The 14,870-nt window shown below is 49.1% G+C and overlaps 1 protein-coding gene across 7 annotated transcripts in view, besides 4 other annotated features; it reads right to left on the bottom strand.

Moving 5' to 3' along the window:
* The window catches only part of CUX2 (cut like homeobox 2), a 316,390-nt gene that overhangs the window by 237,444 nt on the left and 64,076 nt on the right, over positions 1-14,870 (bottom strand). For 2 of the 7 annotated variants that reach the window (NM_001370598.1, XM_011538063.4), the window contains exon 1: positions 12,994-13,107. The exons of the other annotated variants lie outside the window; for them this stretch is intronic. The gene's annotated coding sequence lies outside the window, so the exon portion shown is untranslated. Of the gene's footprint in view, positions 1-12,993; positions 13,108-14,870 lie in introns of those variants that run through there. 7 annotated transcript variants of the gene reach the window in all.
* Positions 7,941-8,442: an enhancer, noted in NCBI's record as "H3K27ac hESC enhancer chr12:111542473-111542974 (GRCh37/hg19 assembly coordinates)". NCBI's record gives its function as "activates a minimal SCP1, AML or CMV promoter by ChIP-STARR-seq in primed H9 embryonic stem cells {active_cell/tissue: H9 hESC(primed)}" and the evidence as "EXISTENCE:reporter gene assay evidence [ECO:0000049][PMID:30033119]".
* Positions 12,391-13,010: an enhancer, noted in NCBI's record as "H3K4me1 hESC enhancer chr12:111537905-111538524 (GRCh37/hg19 assembly coordinates)". NCBI's record gives its function as "activates a minimal SCP1, AML or CMV promoter by ChIP-STARR-seq in naive H9 embryonic stem cells {active_cell/tissue: H9 hESC(naive)}" and the evidence as "EXISTENCE:reporter gene assay evidence [ECO:0000049][PMID:30033119]".
* Positions 13,946-14,025: an enhancer, noted in NCBI's record as "active region_7030". NCBI's record gives its function as "activates an Ori minimal core promoter by ATAC-STARR-seq in GM12878 lymphoblastoid cells {active_cell/tissue: GM12878}" and the evidence as "EXISTENCE:reporter gene assay evidence [ECO:0000049][PMID:35858748]".
* Positions 14,136-14,235: an enhancer, noted in NCBI's record as "active region_7029". NCBI's record gives its function as "activates an Ori minimal core promoter by ATAC-STARR-seq in GM12878 lymphoblastoid cells {active_cell/tissue: GM12878}" and the evidence as "EXISTENCE:reporter gene assay evidence [ECO:0000049][PMID:35858748]".

Raw genomic sequence — 14,870 nt, 5'->3', positions numbered from 1 at the left:
CAGGGTCTTTGTTCATGCTGTTCCCTCTGCCTGGGATGCCCTTACTTTCCTCCCTCCCTGGCAAGCTCCTATGCTTTCCTCCAAATATGGCTCAAATCAAATAAAATATGCCTCAAATCCTCCAAATATGTCTATCCTCAGATACGCGTCACTTTCTGTCCAAAGTGCCAAGCACTGAGGCTCAGTCTGCAGAGACGCTGAACCCAGCCGGGGTGAGCACAGTGGTGCTGTCCAATGACCCAGTACTTAGGAAAATGCTGGCCAAGTTATGCCTCGGATCAAGGTGTCCACATTCCAAAAGGGTTATAATATAAAACACAGGAGAAGCAAGGGACATTTGTCCAGCTGAAAAACATGAACTTCTTTATTAAGGCTTATTTTAACCTAAAAGAACTCGATGAGCTGGAAACTCTCAGGAGATGGAAGTCAGGACAGAGTACGGCTACCTAAGAGAAGCCAGATCCTCAAGTCCTGCTGTGGGCTTCCCAGGCCCTCCCCATTAGGTCCCCAAAGCACACAGCTTGTCCAAAAGTTCCCCCCACGTCCCCCTGTGTCACACCTCCATGATGAAGCAATTCCTTCCCCACGCCCAGACAGATTAAGGAAACAGCAAAAGCCCCAGAACGCCGCTTAAGAGAGATTTCTTAGGCCATAGCTCTGCGAGTCAGAAATAAAAAGCGGGGTTTCAGCATCATGCAATTAATGCAGCAAACATTGATTTCTGCACTGTAAGAAGGTGGTTCACTAATTCCAGATGCTTCCACCAGTCAAACCCAGGTTCGGCTTCTTTGCAATATGAGGCAAATGAGAATACTGAATTTTAAAATTCCTTTCTGCAGCAATCTTTATTACCAAACAGAGCATAAAACCCACCCACCCAGACTGCTTAATTCTTCCTAAATAATTAACAGCACCTGCTCACCTCCCCGTTGACATGGGCAAAACTCACTGAGCCACTCGACCCTTCTTGTGAGAGGAGAGATCAATTGGCCACAGACCTCGATCCCTCACCCAAGTCCTGAGCAACCACTTTCTTTGCTTAGCAGAATATCCCGCCCAGGCCTCCCAGCATCAGGACTTCTTTACTAGATTAGATTTTTCTCCAAATCACCTTTGGGAGGTACAGACCCCACAGGGACTTCCTGAGAAACATGTCTGTGGGTTCTTTGAGGGAAAAAGAAAGGAGAAGCCCCGTGGGAGAACCGTTTCCCCTTGCAAGAGGCTTCTGCAAGTTCAAAGCTTTCATTTCTTTTTTTTTTAAAGGCAAATTTGCCTTTAGGGGACTTGCTGCCGTTAGCAAGACTCAAACTCTGTAATTCAAGTCCAGAAAGGCCCAGCAATTGGCCAACTGTACTGTTGGGTTTTCTTGTTATTTGACAGAGCCTTGCTACTCAGAGTGTGGTGTGCTTTAGGCAGCATCAGCATCACCTGGGAATGCAGAAGTTCAAGTACCCCCGGGCCTATTAAATTCCTGGGAATGGGGAATCTCTCTAGGAGATTCTTATGCATGCTGAAGTTTGAGGACTACCAGTTGAGATCACTGCCAAAGGATTCTATTAACGTAGAAGTTTGACATCTGATGGCTGCCATTTTGCTTTGATGGACATCTTCAACTGGACTCCAACTGAATGTGGGCCTTGGAGATCGGGGAGACCCAACCTTGTTTACTAAATGAAAAAGAAGTTGTGGGGAGGAGTAAAAGTGAATAAATGACTCCCAGTAGATCATTAGCGCTGGATAGGGTTGGGAAAGAGATGAGGCATCTGAGATCCAAGTTCAAAGCCATTGTCTCTCTTTTTTTTTTCTTTTGAGACAGAGTCTCATTCTGTCACCCAGACTGGAGTGCAGTGATGCAATCTCGGCTCACTGCAACCTCCGCCTCCTGGGTTCAAGCGATTCTCCTGCCTCAGCCTCCTGAGCAGCTGGGTTTACAGGTGCACGCCACCATGCCCAGATAATTTTTGTATTTTTAGTAGAGATGGGGTTTCACCATGTTGGCCACGGTGGTCTCGAACTCCTGACCTCAGGTGATCTGCCCACCTCGGCCTCCCAAAGTGCTGGGATTACAGGCGTCAGCCACTGTGCCTGGCCAAAAGCCATTGTCTTGAACTAATGATGTTTCTCTGGCAAGAGGCACCAGCAGGCCTCACCCTTCCCCTCCCCTGCACCCCATCCTCTGCCCCACTTTCCCAATTCGTAAGAACAGTTTCTTTATCCAAGAGGGACTTGGGGATGAAACACTCAGTCCTTTGAACGTGTGGGTTCCCCCTTCACGCCTCCCCAGCCTTCTCAGTTATCCTGGTGAACACAACGAAGATTTCATGCACCAAATACCATCCAGCTCCAATTGTCATTTCAGGATTCGCACTGTTTTAATGAATGCCAAAACTGTTTTTTCACTTGATAGAGCCTGACAAGACCAGCAATCACAGATTAGAGAGAAACTTCTTGCTTTTCAACAAAGGTTAATAAATAGTGACAGCATTAAGTCTATTCTGATTAACTATGCTGAAAGATATTATTTCTGTTTGTAACAAGAAATCATTATTGGATTAAGCACAGCATATAAAAATGAAATGTGAGTTTTAACCTCAAATGTAGAATGCAGCCTGCTCAGATAAAGGCAGAGGTAACACTTGGAGGCCCGTATTAATGTTTGAGTCACTCTGGCGAAGGGATATTATATGGCATTTGTCTGGTCTGGATTTGCTGGGGGAAGAAGAGGTCCCTCAGTGAACTCTCTTGTTGTCTGCCACCCCTCAAACCTAAGATGCTAAGAGGCAAACAGCAGTGACAAGCTCCTTGTGCTAGATTGTATCATGTCAAGTAGCAAAACAAAAGCATGTAGCATCCAACTGGGGATGGATGGATCACAAGTGGCCTTGGTTGTCTATGGGCGTCTCTGACCTCAAAGACCTTCCCCAGTAAAATGCCAATACTAATTAAGAAGCTGGAGATGAAGCACTTCAGGAGGCTGAGGTGGGAGGATTGCTTGAGCCTAGGAGTTTGAGACCAGCCTGGACAACAAAGCAAGACCTCGTCTCTACTTAAAAAAAAAAAAAAAAAAATTAGTTGAGTGTGGTGGTGGGCACCTGTGGTTCCAGCCACTCTGGAGGCTGAGGCAGGAAGATGGCTTGAGCCTAGGAGTTGGAGGATGCAGTGAGCTATGATTGTACCACTGAACTCCAGCCTGGGCAACAGAGTGAGATCCTATCTCAAACCAAAAAACAAAAAGAAGTTGTTAGAGATCGGGGGAGATCCACCCTTGCTTTCTAAATGAAGAAGTTGGAGAAGTAATTTAATGGTTTCCAGTGGCTCATTAACCTGCAACTGGGTTAGGAAAGAGATGAGATCCAAGATCAAAGCCATTGCCTTTCCCCTTCTCCACCATCCTATCCACTGTGGACTACCAAAAATGCCCCAACCTGTGTGATAACAGATGTTTTGTACATTTGTTCTTTCAGCACCCAGACTGTGGTCTCTAAATACCATTAGTCCAGGGATCCCTGGAGCAAAGCCTGAGTCCAAGACTGAGGTGGGAAACATATGGAATGAGCTTGGATCAACTTGTCCTCCCAGAAAGCAAGAAGGGCATCCAAGGTCGCTGGGGCAGTCCAGAGGGGTCAGAGGCCCCCACATGCCAGAGATGGGACAGTCGGAGCATAAATAAGGGCAGTAACTGAAATGGATTAAGACACTTCTGTTACACTTGCAACTATGGGCTTACAATGATATTTTTTAAAACTCTCGTAGGCCACCTTTGGAGGATGTTAGGGAACCAGCTCATTATTTTGAAAACCAGCAAATAAAGAGAAAGATTTAAGCATCTATCTTCCCTTTTGTAAACATACTTTCCTTCAGGGTAAACAAATAATTGATGAGGGGCGGTTTCCCTGTAGAGAAAATTGCCCAGCTAAGAGAGAGAAAGAGGGACAGGAAGAACGTAAGCACATTTAGCAACCCCTAATGAATTCATGGACCCAGGCAATGATTATCAGTGGTCATGAAACCCAGCAGATGAAAAGCTGATGGGAAACTTGACAATGGATGGACCGGCTGACAGCTCCTGAACCCACCAATCAATCTCCATGCCCTGAAAGGGAGATAGCCAGACCTCGTGTGCCTCTACCAGAAGGGCATGTGGCCACCTGCAATGTGGTCTTGGCAAAAATGTCAATCTGGCATCTGATCAAGCCTCTGGGGTTACCACCAGTTCACAGGAGACCCAGGGGATGGAGGAGAGCATTAAATGACACCATGAAGATGCACTCAGCCAAACCCAATGGACAGAAGCTCTACAGGACAGCCTGATTTCTTCAGCAAGAAAAAAAGTTGCAAAAAAAGAGAGAGAGAGGGAGAAAGAGAAAGTGAAGGAGAGGAGAGTGGGGCGAGGAGAGTGGGGCAAAGAGAAGGGGGAAAATGGGTGGAGACAGAGAGGGGAGATGGGGTGGGGGAAGAGAGAGAAAAGATAGTGGGTAGAGACAGTGGGTATGGAGGTGGCAGAGAGAGAGGGGAAACAGATTAAAATATGAATCTGAGTCCACACTGATATAAATAAAAAACTGAATAGATAAATAAATGGGGAAGAAGGAAAAAAGCTCTTCAATTAATAAATGTAGAAGTAATGACGGAAACAGAAAATCACCATTTGGCAAACACCATAGCAATAATTGTTTCAAGCAAGAAGCATCGATGCATGCTAAAATTATTGGGCAAAAGAATGATGACAGAGAGTATTACATTGTCTCAAAATGTTTCCACACAAGCACTTATTAGTTACAAAGGGAAAAATAATAATTTTACAGCAGAGGATCCAGCCAGTCTTCACCTTGAGCAAGTGACCAAAGTTAACAGCAGTGGTGCCTCCTGATCCAATGCATGGAGAAGGACACAACATCACTCCTGTAGCCCAAAATGCACAACCTGAATCGAATCATAAGTAAACACCCTGCATTCTCAAATGGAGGGACATTCTTCAAGATAAATGGCCAGTTTTCATCAAAAGTGTCAAGGCCATTAAAGACAAAAGAAGACTGAAGAACTGTTGGAGATTAAGGGAGACTATGGGGAAATAACAACTCCATGCGTCACATGATCCAGAACTGGACTCTGGACCAGAAAAACGACATCAGTGGGACACTTGGCAAAATTTGAGTCAGGTCAGTCCATTATGTAATGGTGTTTCAGCCACGTTAATTTTTCTGACTTTGTAATTGTGTTGTGGTTAGGCTGGATGTCAGCATTCAGGGAATCTGGGGAATTCTTTGTACTGTTTTTGTAACTTTTTGTCAGTCTTTTTGAAATTATCTCAAAATGAAAAGTTAAAAAAAAAAAGTTTAAATAAATTACACCCAAAGCTTTCCCTAACTGCCCTATCTCATTTATTTGCTTTTCATCCTCTTGAATTTTAATTTCAGGCATTTGTTTTCTCACTGTAACTTAGAAGCCCCATCCCAGACCTTTCCATTCCCTGCACCCTCTGCTCCCTCACCTAGAGGACGGGCATTCTGCCTGCCAGGGCACATGTCCCAATACTCCCAACTTCCTAGAGCCAGCAAGAACAGAATACGGTGGGAACTGCAGCACTGGGCCCTCCCCAGGTGAAACCTGCAGCTCCCGGAACTCCCTGAGGCAACAGAAGAACTTAGCTGGGAACATGGAGAAAAGAATTGTAAGTGACATGTACATGACATCTTTGCCTGATTAGATGAGGCAGGAAATCCTGAAGAAGAATGGATGCACCCCAGTCAGATGTCAAAAAAGTTCCTGCAAAGGAGAAACTTACATGGGCTCAAGGACTCCAGGTGCACACCAGGTGGGCAGGCTGTGTGAGGGGCCTGTGGGCTTGGCCACAGAGCAGGAAGGCCACCGGGGGGTCTTGGCAGACCTTAGGTGTGATTCAAAGGGACATGGCCCACTGTCACCAAAAACTGTACATTTGGGTACACCTGTAGATGTTACAAAGAGCCTCAGTTTCCTCACCTGTAAAATGGGGACAGAAGTGTGGATTTAATGAGATGGTATAAGTTAACGCAATGCCTGGCACACACTGTCCAGCCAATGGAAGGTGGCATTGCGTGTTATCATTGCTTCTGAATTTCAAATGCAACAATCTTGCCACCATGTGGGCCTTGCCTGCACACAGCCTGTCCAGCAACCCTATCAACTGAGCTGCTGACACAAAGCCCAACACTTCTCTTCCACTACATCCTTGCCTCTCCCTGTCCCCAGGTTGTCCCCTGTCCTTCTTTCCTCTCCCGGCCATAATGGACAGCATCTGTTCTTCCATCTCACCAGAGATTCTATGCCTCCCTGCCTTTGTGCCTATGAATTCCTGAAACAGAAATGTGTTTTCTGTCCCACCCCTTTCTGTCACATGTTGTTGGAAGTGTCATCATTCAAGGCCCTTCTCGCGGAAGTCTTCCAGGATTGCCTCAGTCAAAATCTATCACCCCTTCCTTGGCACCTACCTGGTACCTTTTCTTATTTCTATCAGGAATTAAGACTCATTATTAGGCCAGATATGGTGGTGCACACCTGTAATTCCAATACTTTGGGGCTGAGGTGAGAGGATTACTTGAGCCCAAGAGTTTGAGACCAGCCTGGGCAACATAGCAAGACCCCATCTCCTCTAAAAATAAAAATATTAGCCAGGACTGGGGGCAGTGGCTCATGCCTGTAATCCCAGCACTTTGGGAGGCCAAGGTGGGTGAATTGCTTAAGTCCAGGGGTTTGAGACCAGCCTGGGCAACATAGCAAGACCCCATCTCTACTAAAAATAAAAATATTAGCTGGGGCTGGGCATGGTGACACCTGCCTGTAGTTCCAACTGTGGTCATGCCTGTAATCCCAGCACTCTGTGAGGCCGAGGTGGATGGATTGTTTAAGTCCAGGAGTTTGAGACCAGCCTAGGCAACATGGCAAAACCCTATCCTTACAAAATATTAGCCAGGTATGGTGGTACCAGCCTACAGTTCCAGCTACTTGAGAGGCTGAGGTGGGGGGATCGCTTGGGCCCAAGAGTTTGAGACCAGCCTGGGCAACACAGCAAGACCCCATGTCTACTAAAAATAAAAATATTAGCCAGGCGTGGTGGCATATGCCTGTAGTCCCAGCTACTCAAGAGGCTGAGATGGGAGTATCACTTGAGCCCAGGAGGTCAAGGCTGCAGTGAGCCATGATCATGGCACTGCACTCCAACCTGGGCAACAGAGAGGGACTCTGTCTCAAAAAAAAAAAAAAAAAAGACTCATTATTAGTTAATATCAGTGAAATCAGAGCTGCCATGAATTACCATTAGAGAAATTCTCAATTAAGTCTCTGAACAGCCATGCAGCAGGTATTACTGTTCACCCACTTTACAGATGAGGAAACTGAGTCACAGAGAGGTGAAGCCACTTGCACAAGGTTACCACCTAGCTGGGAAATGACAGATGCAGGCTTCAAACCCAGGTCTGTGTGGCTCCAAAGTCCCAGTTATTCTCCTGATACTCCTGGGAAAGGCAGCTGGAGAGGAAGCAATCTACATTCCCCATCTCCCTGGGGGTGTGCAGTATAGGCTCTGGAGAGGCAGGGAGAGCTCACATGCACACGTGCGTGAGCACACACACACACACACACACACAGAGCTTTCCAGCTTCCCACACTAGCCCTCTCCTGAATTTCAAAACATCTCCCCTTTGCTGAGTCACCTCTTCCGTCAGCCCCTTCCTGGGAGGAGGCGGACAGAAATCAATAGCCATTGCCTATCAACTCAGTGATCAAATCAACCAGCATCGGGCCCCCGAGGCCATGGCTGATCATTCCAAAACCCCCAAACCCCATTTCATTACAGTTAAATGAATATTTCCTTTTAATCACCCCCAAATATTTCTGAAGAGGCAGAAATAAATGCCTGGGGAGAGGCAGGCCATACATCTTAGCACCAGAAGCAGTGAAGGTCACTACCCAGGGAACGGGGCTCACCCCAGCGCAGGGCCCTGACCCTCAATGTGGCCCCCGAGTCAATTCTGGGGATAGCGATGAGCCCAGGTCCCTGGACAGATCAGCCAAGGACGGCTCCTTAGAGGAGAACAGGTTATAAGGCATGCCTGGGAAAACCGGGCTGGGAGAAACAGAGTGTTTCGGGTAGAACCACCAAGACTCACGCCCCATTCATCCAATATGGGAGCCACAGGGTCCCCTCCCTATCCCTGTCCTTTCTTCAAAAGAAGCATCCACATTCTCTGAGGGCCACAGCTGGCTGCGAGCCCAGGTGGTCCTGAAAGGCGTCAAGGTCACCAGGTGGGGCCAATCTGACTCTTGGTGTTCCATGAACTTGCAGGTGTCTCTGAAGCTCAATGGGCTGCTGTTTCCTCCTCTGGTAACCAGGAACGGACTTTAAAACCCCTCTTCTGGCCTGGCGGCTCTGAAAACAACCCAGCAATAAAGATAATGGCCAGCAGTCCATACTGCGTGCCAGATCCTTTCCTTCAATATGTTGTGTGAATTATCTCATTTTATAGATGAGGAACCAGGGCCACAGCGAGGTAAAGCAACTTGCCCTGCATCACACAGCCAGAGGGTGAAGAGCTGGAATTTGAACCAGGGAAACCTGGCTTTTGAATCAGGCTCTTCCCCTTTTCCCAGCTCCCCACCTGGCCAGTGTGACTATCCAAAGCTTTGGAACCCTCTGCAAATGATGGGGTTCAGAAGATAATTCCTGGGCTTCTCTTTGGACTTTGTTAGCCCACAAACCTCCCATGAGCCATCCTGAGATTTGGCTTCTCGATTAAATCCTTCTTAACGCCCCAAATCCATGCATGCATTCAACACGGATCCTGTTTTTTATACTATGTGAGGGGGGAAGAGTGAAAGGCAGAAAAAGGAAGCTTTGGCCTATGAAGGACCCTAGTCTACCTAACATGAACATGGTGCAGCCAGGACATGCTGGAATTAGAAGACATAAAAAAGATGATTGTGCCCCAAGAGAGAGAAAATGCAGACAACAATAAAGACAGAAAGAGAGGAGGCTTTTAGTAGTAGCCGTGGCGCTTAGGCAGGACTCAAAGCACAAATAGGTTAGGTTTAGGTAAAAGAAAGACATTCCAGGTGGTCGGAACGGCTTGGGCAAATGCATGGATCCAAGTTGGTCCAATCAGGGGGAATCCCAGGACATTTGCTAAAGCCTAGGAAAGAGCTGCTTTCTTTCCCTGGGAGCTGCCAAGGTGGTGAAACAGCTGCCAGGGGAGAATCCTGGCTCAGAACAAAGCCCACCCATACAGGGGAAAAGCTGAGCCAAGATCTGAGTAGGATGAGATAACACCATTTGAGCAGCTGGATACAGCCATGCCTGAAGGCAGACACCTGACCGTTTCAGGTCACATGAGCCAATAAAAATTTTCTTTTGTTTAAGTTGACTCCAGATAAGTTTCTCTCAGATAGAACCGTAAGAGTCCTGCCTGTTATAGTAGACAGTGGCCCCAGATCCTCCCCAAGTGTGACAAAGTCCCTGAAAAGTCTATTTGAGATTCATGCATCAACCAGTTCTCTTCTTTCACTTGGCCCCAACAGGGCATCTCCTTGCATCCCAGCACTGAGCACAGAAATGTTCACTGAATGAATGAATGAATGAAGTTTCCCTCACAGTTGATGTACGCCTGTCTGTCAAGGTCATATTCACTCCCTCTAACCCATTCCCTGGTCTTCGAGTTGAGAGATAGCATCTCAGTTTCCTGCCAGCTCCTTTATCTCTGGCCATCACACTCAGTTAAGTGACTGACTCCAAGGTATGTTCCCAGCACCCAGGAACAACTCTGCAAAGGGAAGATGCTTCCATCAGGCGCCCTGTTTATGGGAAACTGCCAGGTCGTTCCCGAACCCAATCACCCGTTAGCCACAGTGAGCATGGTGCACCGCTTGTCCACCCATCCAACAAGCATTGGTTGAGCATCTACTATACACCAGACCTTTTGCTCAAAGCATCCCAGTGAGGGAGGCAAAAATCCATGAAATAGAAAAAGCTTCACCCCCATCCAATAAGACCGTCAAGGTAAGAGGAGTGTCCCCTCTAGGCAGGAAACTTACAAAATTATCTGTTGCTAATAATAATAAAAATAAAGTGTTTTATTCCTAAAAAATAACCCCTTTCTGTAAACATCAAGGCATCCACTTCAAATCTTGTTGGTATCATTAAACTGGTAAGGAATATCACCTTGCAAAAAGATAAGATAGTAACAATAGTAATAACAATAACAGCTTTTTTTTTGATCACTTACTACGCAAACTGCCAAGCTAAATGTTTTAGCTACACTGTCTCATTGAACTTTTGCTACCCACTACGAAGTGGGTAAACAGAGGCTCAGAGAGGTTAAGGAGCTGTCCTGAAGTCACTCGGCAACTGGAAGAACTAGAACTTCTACACAGATTTGGAAGACTCCAAAATGTCTCCAAGCCTCAGCTTTCTCCCCATAAAATAGGAATAAGGATTTACTTTGAGGGGTTTCTACAAAGACTAGACGAGATCATGCATGCAAGCTGTTTCAGCACAAGGCCTGGCCCAGGCAGAGGGCCTCACTGAATGAGCCTGAGTATTTCATCATCAACATGTCCGTGACATGGTTGAAGGTGGGGTGGGCTCAGGGCACAGTGTGGTGCCAGGCTCAGGGGAAATCTCATGCCACTCTCCTCTCAGTTGTCTGCCACCAATGCTCAGATGTCAGTCGGCTTTGGACAAGTGCACAAAACAGTCTCGGATGCCCACAACCGCCACAAGCCTGAGCTTGCTAGATCCTCCCTCGGAGGGAGAGCTGCCAGGTGGCTTCCTTGTCGGCTGGCTCCCACACCTGGCTGCTGCCCAGGGTGATTTAACCTGAGTCCCTGCCCACCTCACCAGACCGTTGGAGGAGAGACAGGCACAGCATTTGGCGCGGCCCACCCACGCAGGACACCCACCCCATAACCCATACCACGATGCCTCGGGCATGCCCAGCCAGATGCCTGGCACACAGCAGCTGCCTGACAGCAGCACACAGTGGGCAAGGCTACAGAAAGAGTGGGTTACACATTGTGTGATTTTAAAAAAAGAGGATATTGTGTGCCGACAGGACGTTTTAATCTGAGTTCAGGCGTTCCAGAAATAACAATAATAGCTCCTGCTCTATAGTACTTACTATAACCTTTTATGTAAAGTAAGAAATTTAACTCTCACAACATCCCCATGTAGTCGGTACTGTATTTAGCCCGATTTTGCAGGTAAGGAAACTGAGGCACAGATAAAGTGACCTGCCTGATATCACACATAGCTAGGACACACCGAACCAATCTGGCCCACGGAAGTCTGCCTTGTTCCAGAAAGACCCCAAGGTAACAAGTAAGAGACAGCCCTGAGCCTGGCTCTGTTATGACTCTCATTTTACAGGTGGGAAGACTAAGGCTCAGAGAAGCTCAGCAACATGCCCAAGGCCACACAGTGTTTGAAGCCAGGCTCCAGATATGCATCTGGCACTGGCGCGACCATCTTCTATTCTGCAGAGTACCTGGTTTCTGTTTTGTAAGATGTGACTCCCCCTACCCACTCACCCACCCAGATCTGCAGAGGGTGATACCACAACATGACAAATCCCAGTGAAGGGACAGTGAGCCGGACAGGGACAGAGATCAAAAGGAGGTTCCTCTGGCTCCATGGCTCTGTGGAGAAGCCCGGCAGCCACCAGGTTCCCTGCAAGGCATGGATTTTCTAGCCTGGAGAAGCGGCTGTAGGGGGTCACACCCTGCAGGTGGCAGGATGCAGGGCTGCTGTGGTGTGGCCATCTGGGGGACCCTGACAGTCTCCAGGGCTGTGGCCAGAGTCCCTTACCACACAGCTCAGGGCAGCCTTCCTGGAAGGTGCATCCCAGGAACCAATCCTGGGGCACCAGCCTCCCCCGGGCCGCACTGACCCATTGTCACCCAGGGGTCCTCATCACGAGGGGTGAGTGCACCTTGAAAAAGCGCATTCGTGTCACAAAATGCTTTGGTATTTAGAAAGCAACACCCCTTCCAAAACCAAAACACCCATTGTTTTTATCGCCCAAGCTACAGAAGGCAAATCTTGACAAAACCATCTTGGTTGGAATAGGGTGGGTTAAAAATGGCCACAGCCCTCAGAGGGACAGGGGAGGGTTTTCCAGGCTCTGACTGGAGCTGGGGCTGAGGCAAGAGGCTGGGAGTCTACAGTGACCTCCTTGGTGGCAAGCTGAGCTGCCCAGGGAGGGCTCTACTGGGGGCTCCCCCATGCAAGATGGAAGTGCCCCACACATGTGCTCATATGCAACACATGCAACATGTGCTCACATACATACTCACACAGGTGCTCCAGCACATGAGCACTGCTCACACCCTCCTGTGCAACGTGTGCTCAGTCCACACGCTCTCATATGTAGCACACACATGCAAAATACATGCACACAACTCACTCTGCCACGTGACACCCTCCTCCATGCAAGCTCACATGTTCAAATGTATACAATTCACACACTTGTGGGTGTACACTCATGCTTACACACACGCATGCATACCCCTCTGACTTGCACACATGGGTGTCTGCACCCACACAGACCCACCAGTCACGCACCCATGTGTCTCCTTAAGATACACACACACATCCGCACAAACAGAAAGACACAGAGGGCCAAGACCCACACCCAGCCACACCCATGGCCACCTCCAAAGACACACAGACACACACACAACTCATGAGTGCACACACAGAGATAGGCAGAGATCCACACTCAATCTCATGCATGGACGGCTCTCGCGGCCACCACACACGCAGAGAAAGACACACGGAGAGCCACACAGGCCACGCATACATCGAGCTGGACACACAAAGGGGCACAAGGACACACACAGGCACAAGGACACACACAGACACAAGCACACACACACATACACACACACACACACACACAGTCACAGGCTCCTGCTCTCACATCCCCCAAGTCCTCTCAACCCTCGGCGGGTCCTTGCACTCACCCTGGGCAGCTCCTGCCTCCTCTCCAGAGCCGTCCAAGGCTCCCAGAAGTGTCCAGACACAGCCCCGCTCCGAGGGCCCGTCAGCAGCACCACCGGCAAATAAAAAGCGAATGTGCAAAAATAAAAGCGAAAGGCTGCGATAAAGCCGTTCCCTTCCCACAGGACTCTGAGCTGACGCAGGTTCTGCTCTGCAATAAACATTTTCATTCTAATTTTAAAAGACATTAGCATTACCTCTTTGGCTCTCGATTGAGCCAGACGGTCCCTCGCCTCCTAGCTGCCCATCGGCCCCGCTGGGCATGGAGGGGACAGAGGGTCACTCTGAATGATGGGCACTGACCCAGGCTGCCTGGGTCTGATTTTACACCATCCGTGCAGGCCCCAGTTTCGGCGCCCAATAAACCCAATAGGTGATCAGAGAGACTGGGAGCCCCAAAGCTGGCAGAGACATCCCCCACCTTCCCCTGAGACTCCATCTCACCCCAGCCAGGATCCCTGCAGGTCCAATCCTGTTCTCCCATGTGAGGGCTACACATGAGGATGGTGGCTTTCAAATGGCAGGTCTGCCCCCAACAAATAGGGGGCCACCCCCACCTCCCCACAACTTGCCCTGCCTGCAAACCCGAGTCTCACCTCATACCTCCCAGCAGTGACCCAACCTGGCTTTCCGGGCTTGGCAAGAAATGAAGGAAGAAGAGAAACCACATAACGGTTTAAGAAAGCACCGAGCTATTTTTATGAGCTCAGAGGCCTAGACCCCAAAATGCAGCACTGCCTCTGGCCTCCAGCCTCAGCTCTTGCCACACCCTGCTCACCCGGAGGTCCCAGGCACTCTGAACAGTGATTTGCACAAAGCCCACCTCCGAGCCTTTGGCCAGGCCGTTTCCTCCACCTTGAACACACGTTCCTGCCTCTGCTGGGGCAGGACCTGGTCGCCCTTCAGGTCTGAGCTTCCAAGTCACTTCCTTCCACACTGCTGAGCATTTGGGATCCTGTATTGAATGGGCAACCCAGTTCCTGCCTTCACTGAGCAGATGATGTAGGTGGCCTCCTCTGGGAGACTTCCTTGGCCTTCCAGGCTATATTGAGCACCTATCCTTACTCCAGAGGCCTCCCGGCTCCTACTCAGGGACAGCTCTTCTCAGGCTGGTTCTACATGCTGCACTTCTGGCCGTTCCTGTCTGGGGGCTCCCTGAGGGGAGGAGGCAGTCTGCGGTGCTCCCCCTTTCCCCTGCACCAGGCATGAGCCCCATGGGCGGCTGCTAAGTGCATGAATAAATGAATACCCAGCTTGTGCCAGCCGAGGCCAAGTCCCTCCAGCGTGGCTCACTGTCCTCCTCCTCTGAACTCACGAAGAGAAAGGGAATCAGGAGACCAACATGAGTCCTTGCTAGAGAGAGGGAGGTGACGTTGGCTTCCTGCTCTTGTCTGAGCTGCTCTGGGGCTGGGGGTATAGGTCCCCTCCGGCCATTCCCCCGTTAACATGTCACCATATTGTCAACTGGGGCTCCGCAGTCCCCGAGCGTCAAGATGTGGGATGGAAAGGAGAAATGCTGGCAAGGCAGCTCACAGCAGCCTCAGTGGCCTCCCTCCAGAGATGCGTATCTACTTTGAAAGGTCCCTCGTTGGCCTGTACCCGGGAATCCCCGGTGCCAAGGCCGATGACTGCAGCAGCTCCTCCCTGTCTCTCCCACTCAGTTCTTTTTTTTTTTTTTTTTGAGACGAAGTCTCGCTCTGTCGCTCAGGCTGGAGTGCAGTGGCATGATTTTGGCTCACTGTAACCTCTACCTCCCAGGTTCAAGTGATTCTCCTGCCTCAGCCTCCCAAGTAGCTGGGATTACAGGCAGGCACCACCACACCCGGTTAATTTTTATAGT

Source organism: Homo sapiens, chromosome 12 (genome assembly GCF_000001405.40).
Source record: "Homo sapiens chromosome 12, GRCh38.p14 Primary Assembly".
NCBI lineage: Eukaryota > Metazoa > Chordata > Mammalia > Primates > Hominidae > Homo > Homo sapiens.
Note: the sequence above shows the minus strand (reverse complement) of the source record. Positions and strands in the feature narration are given on the sequence as shown.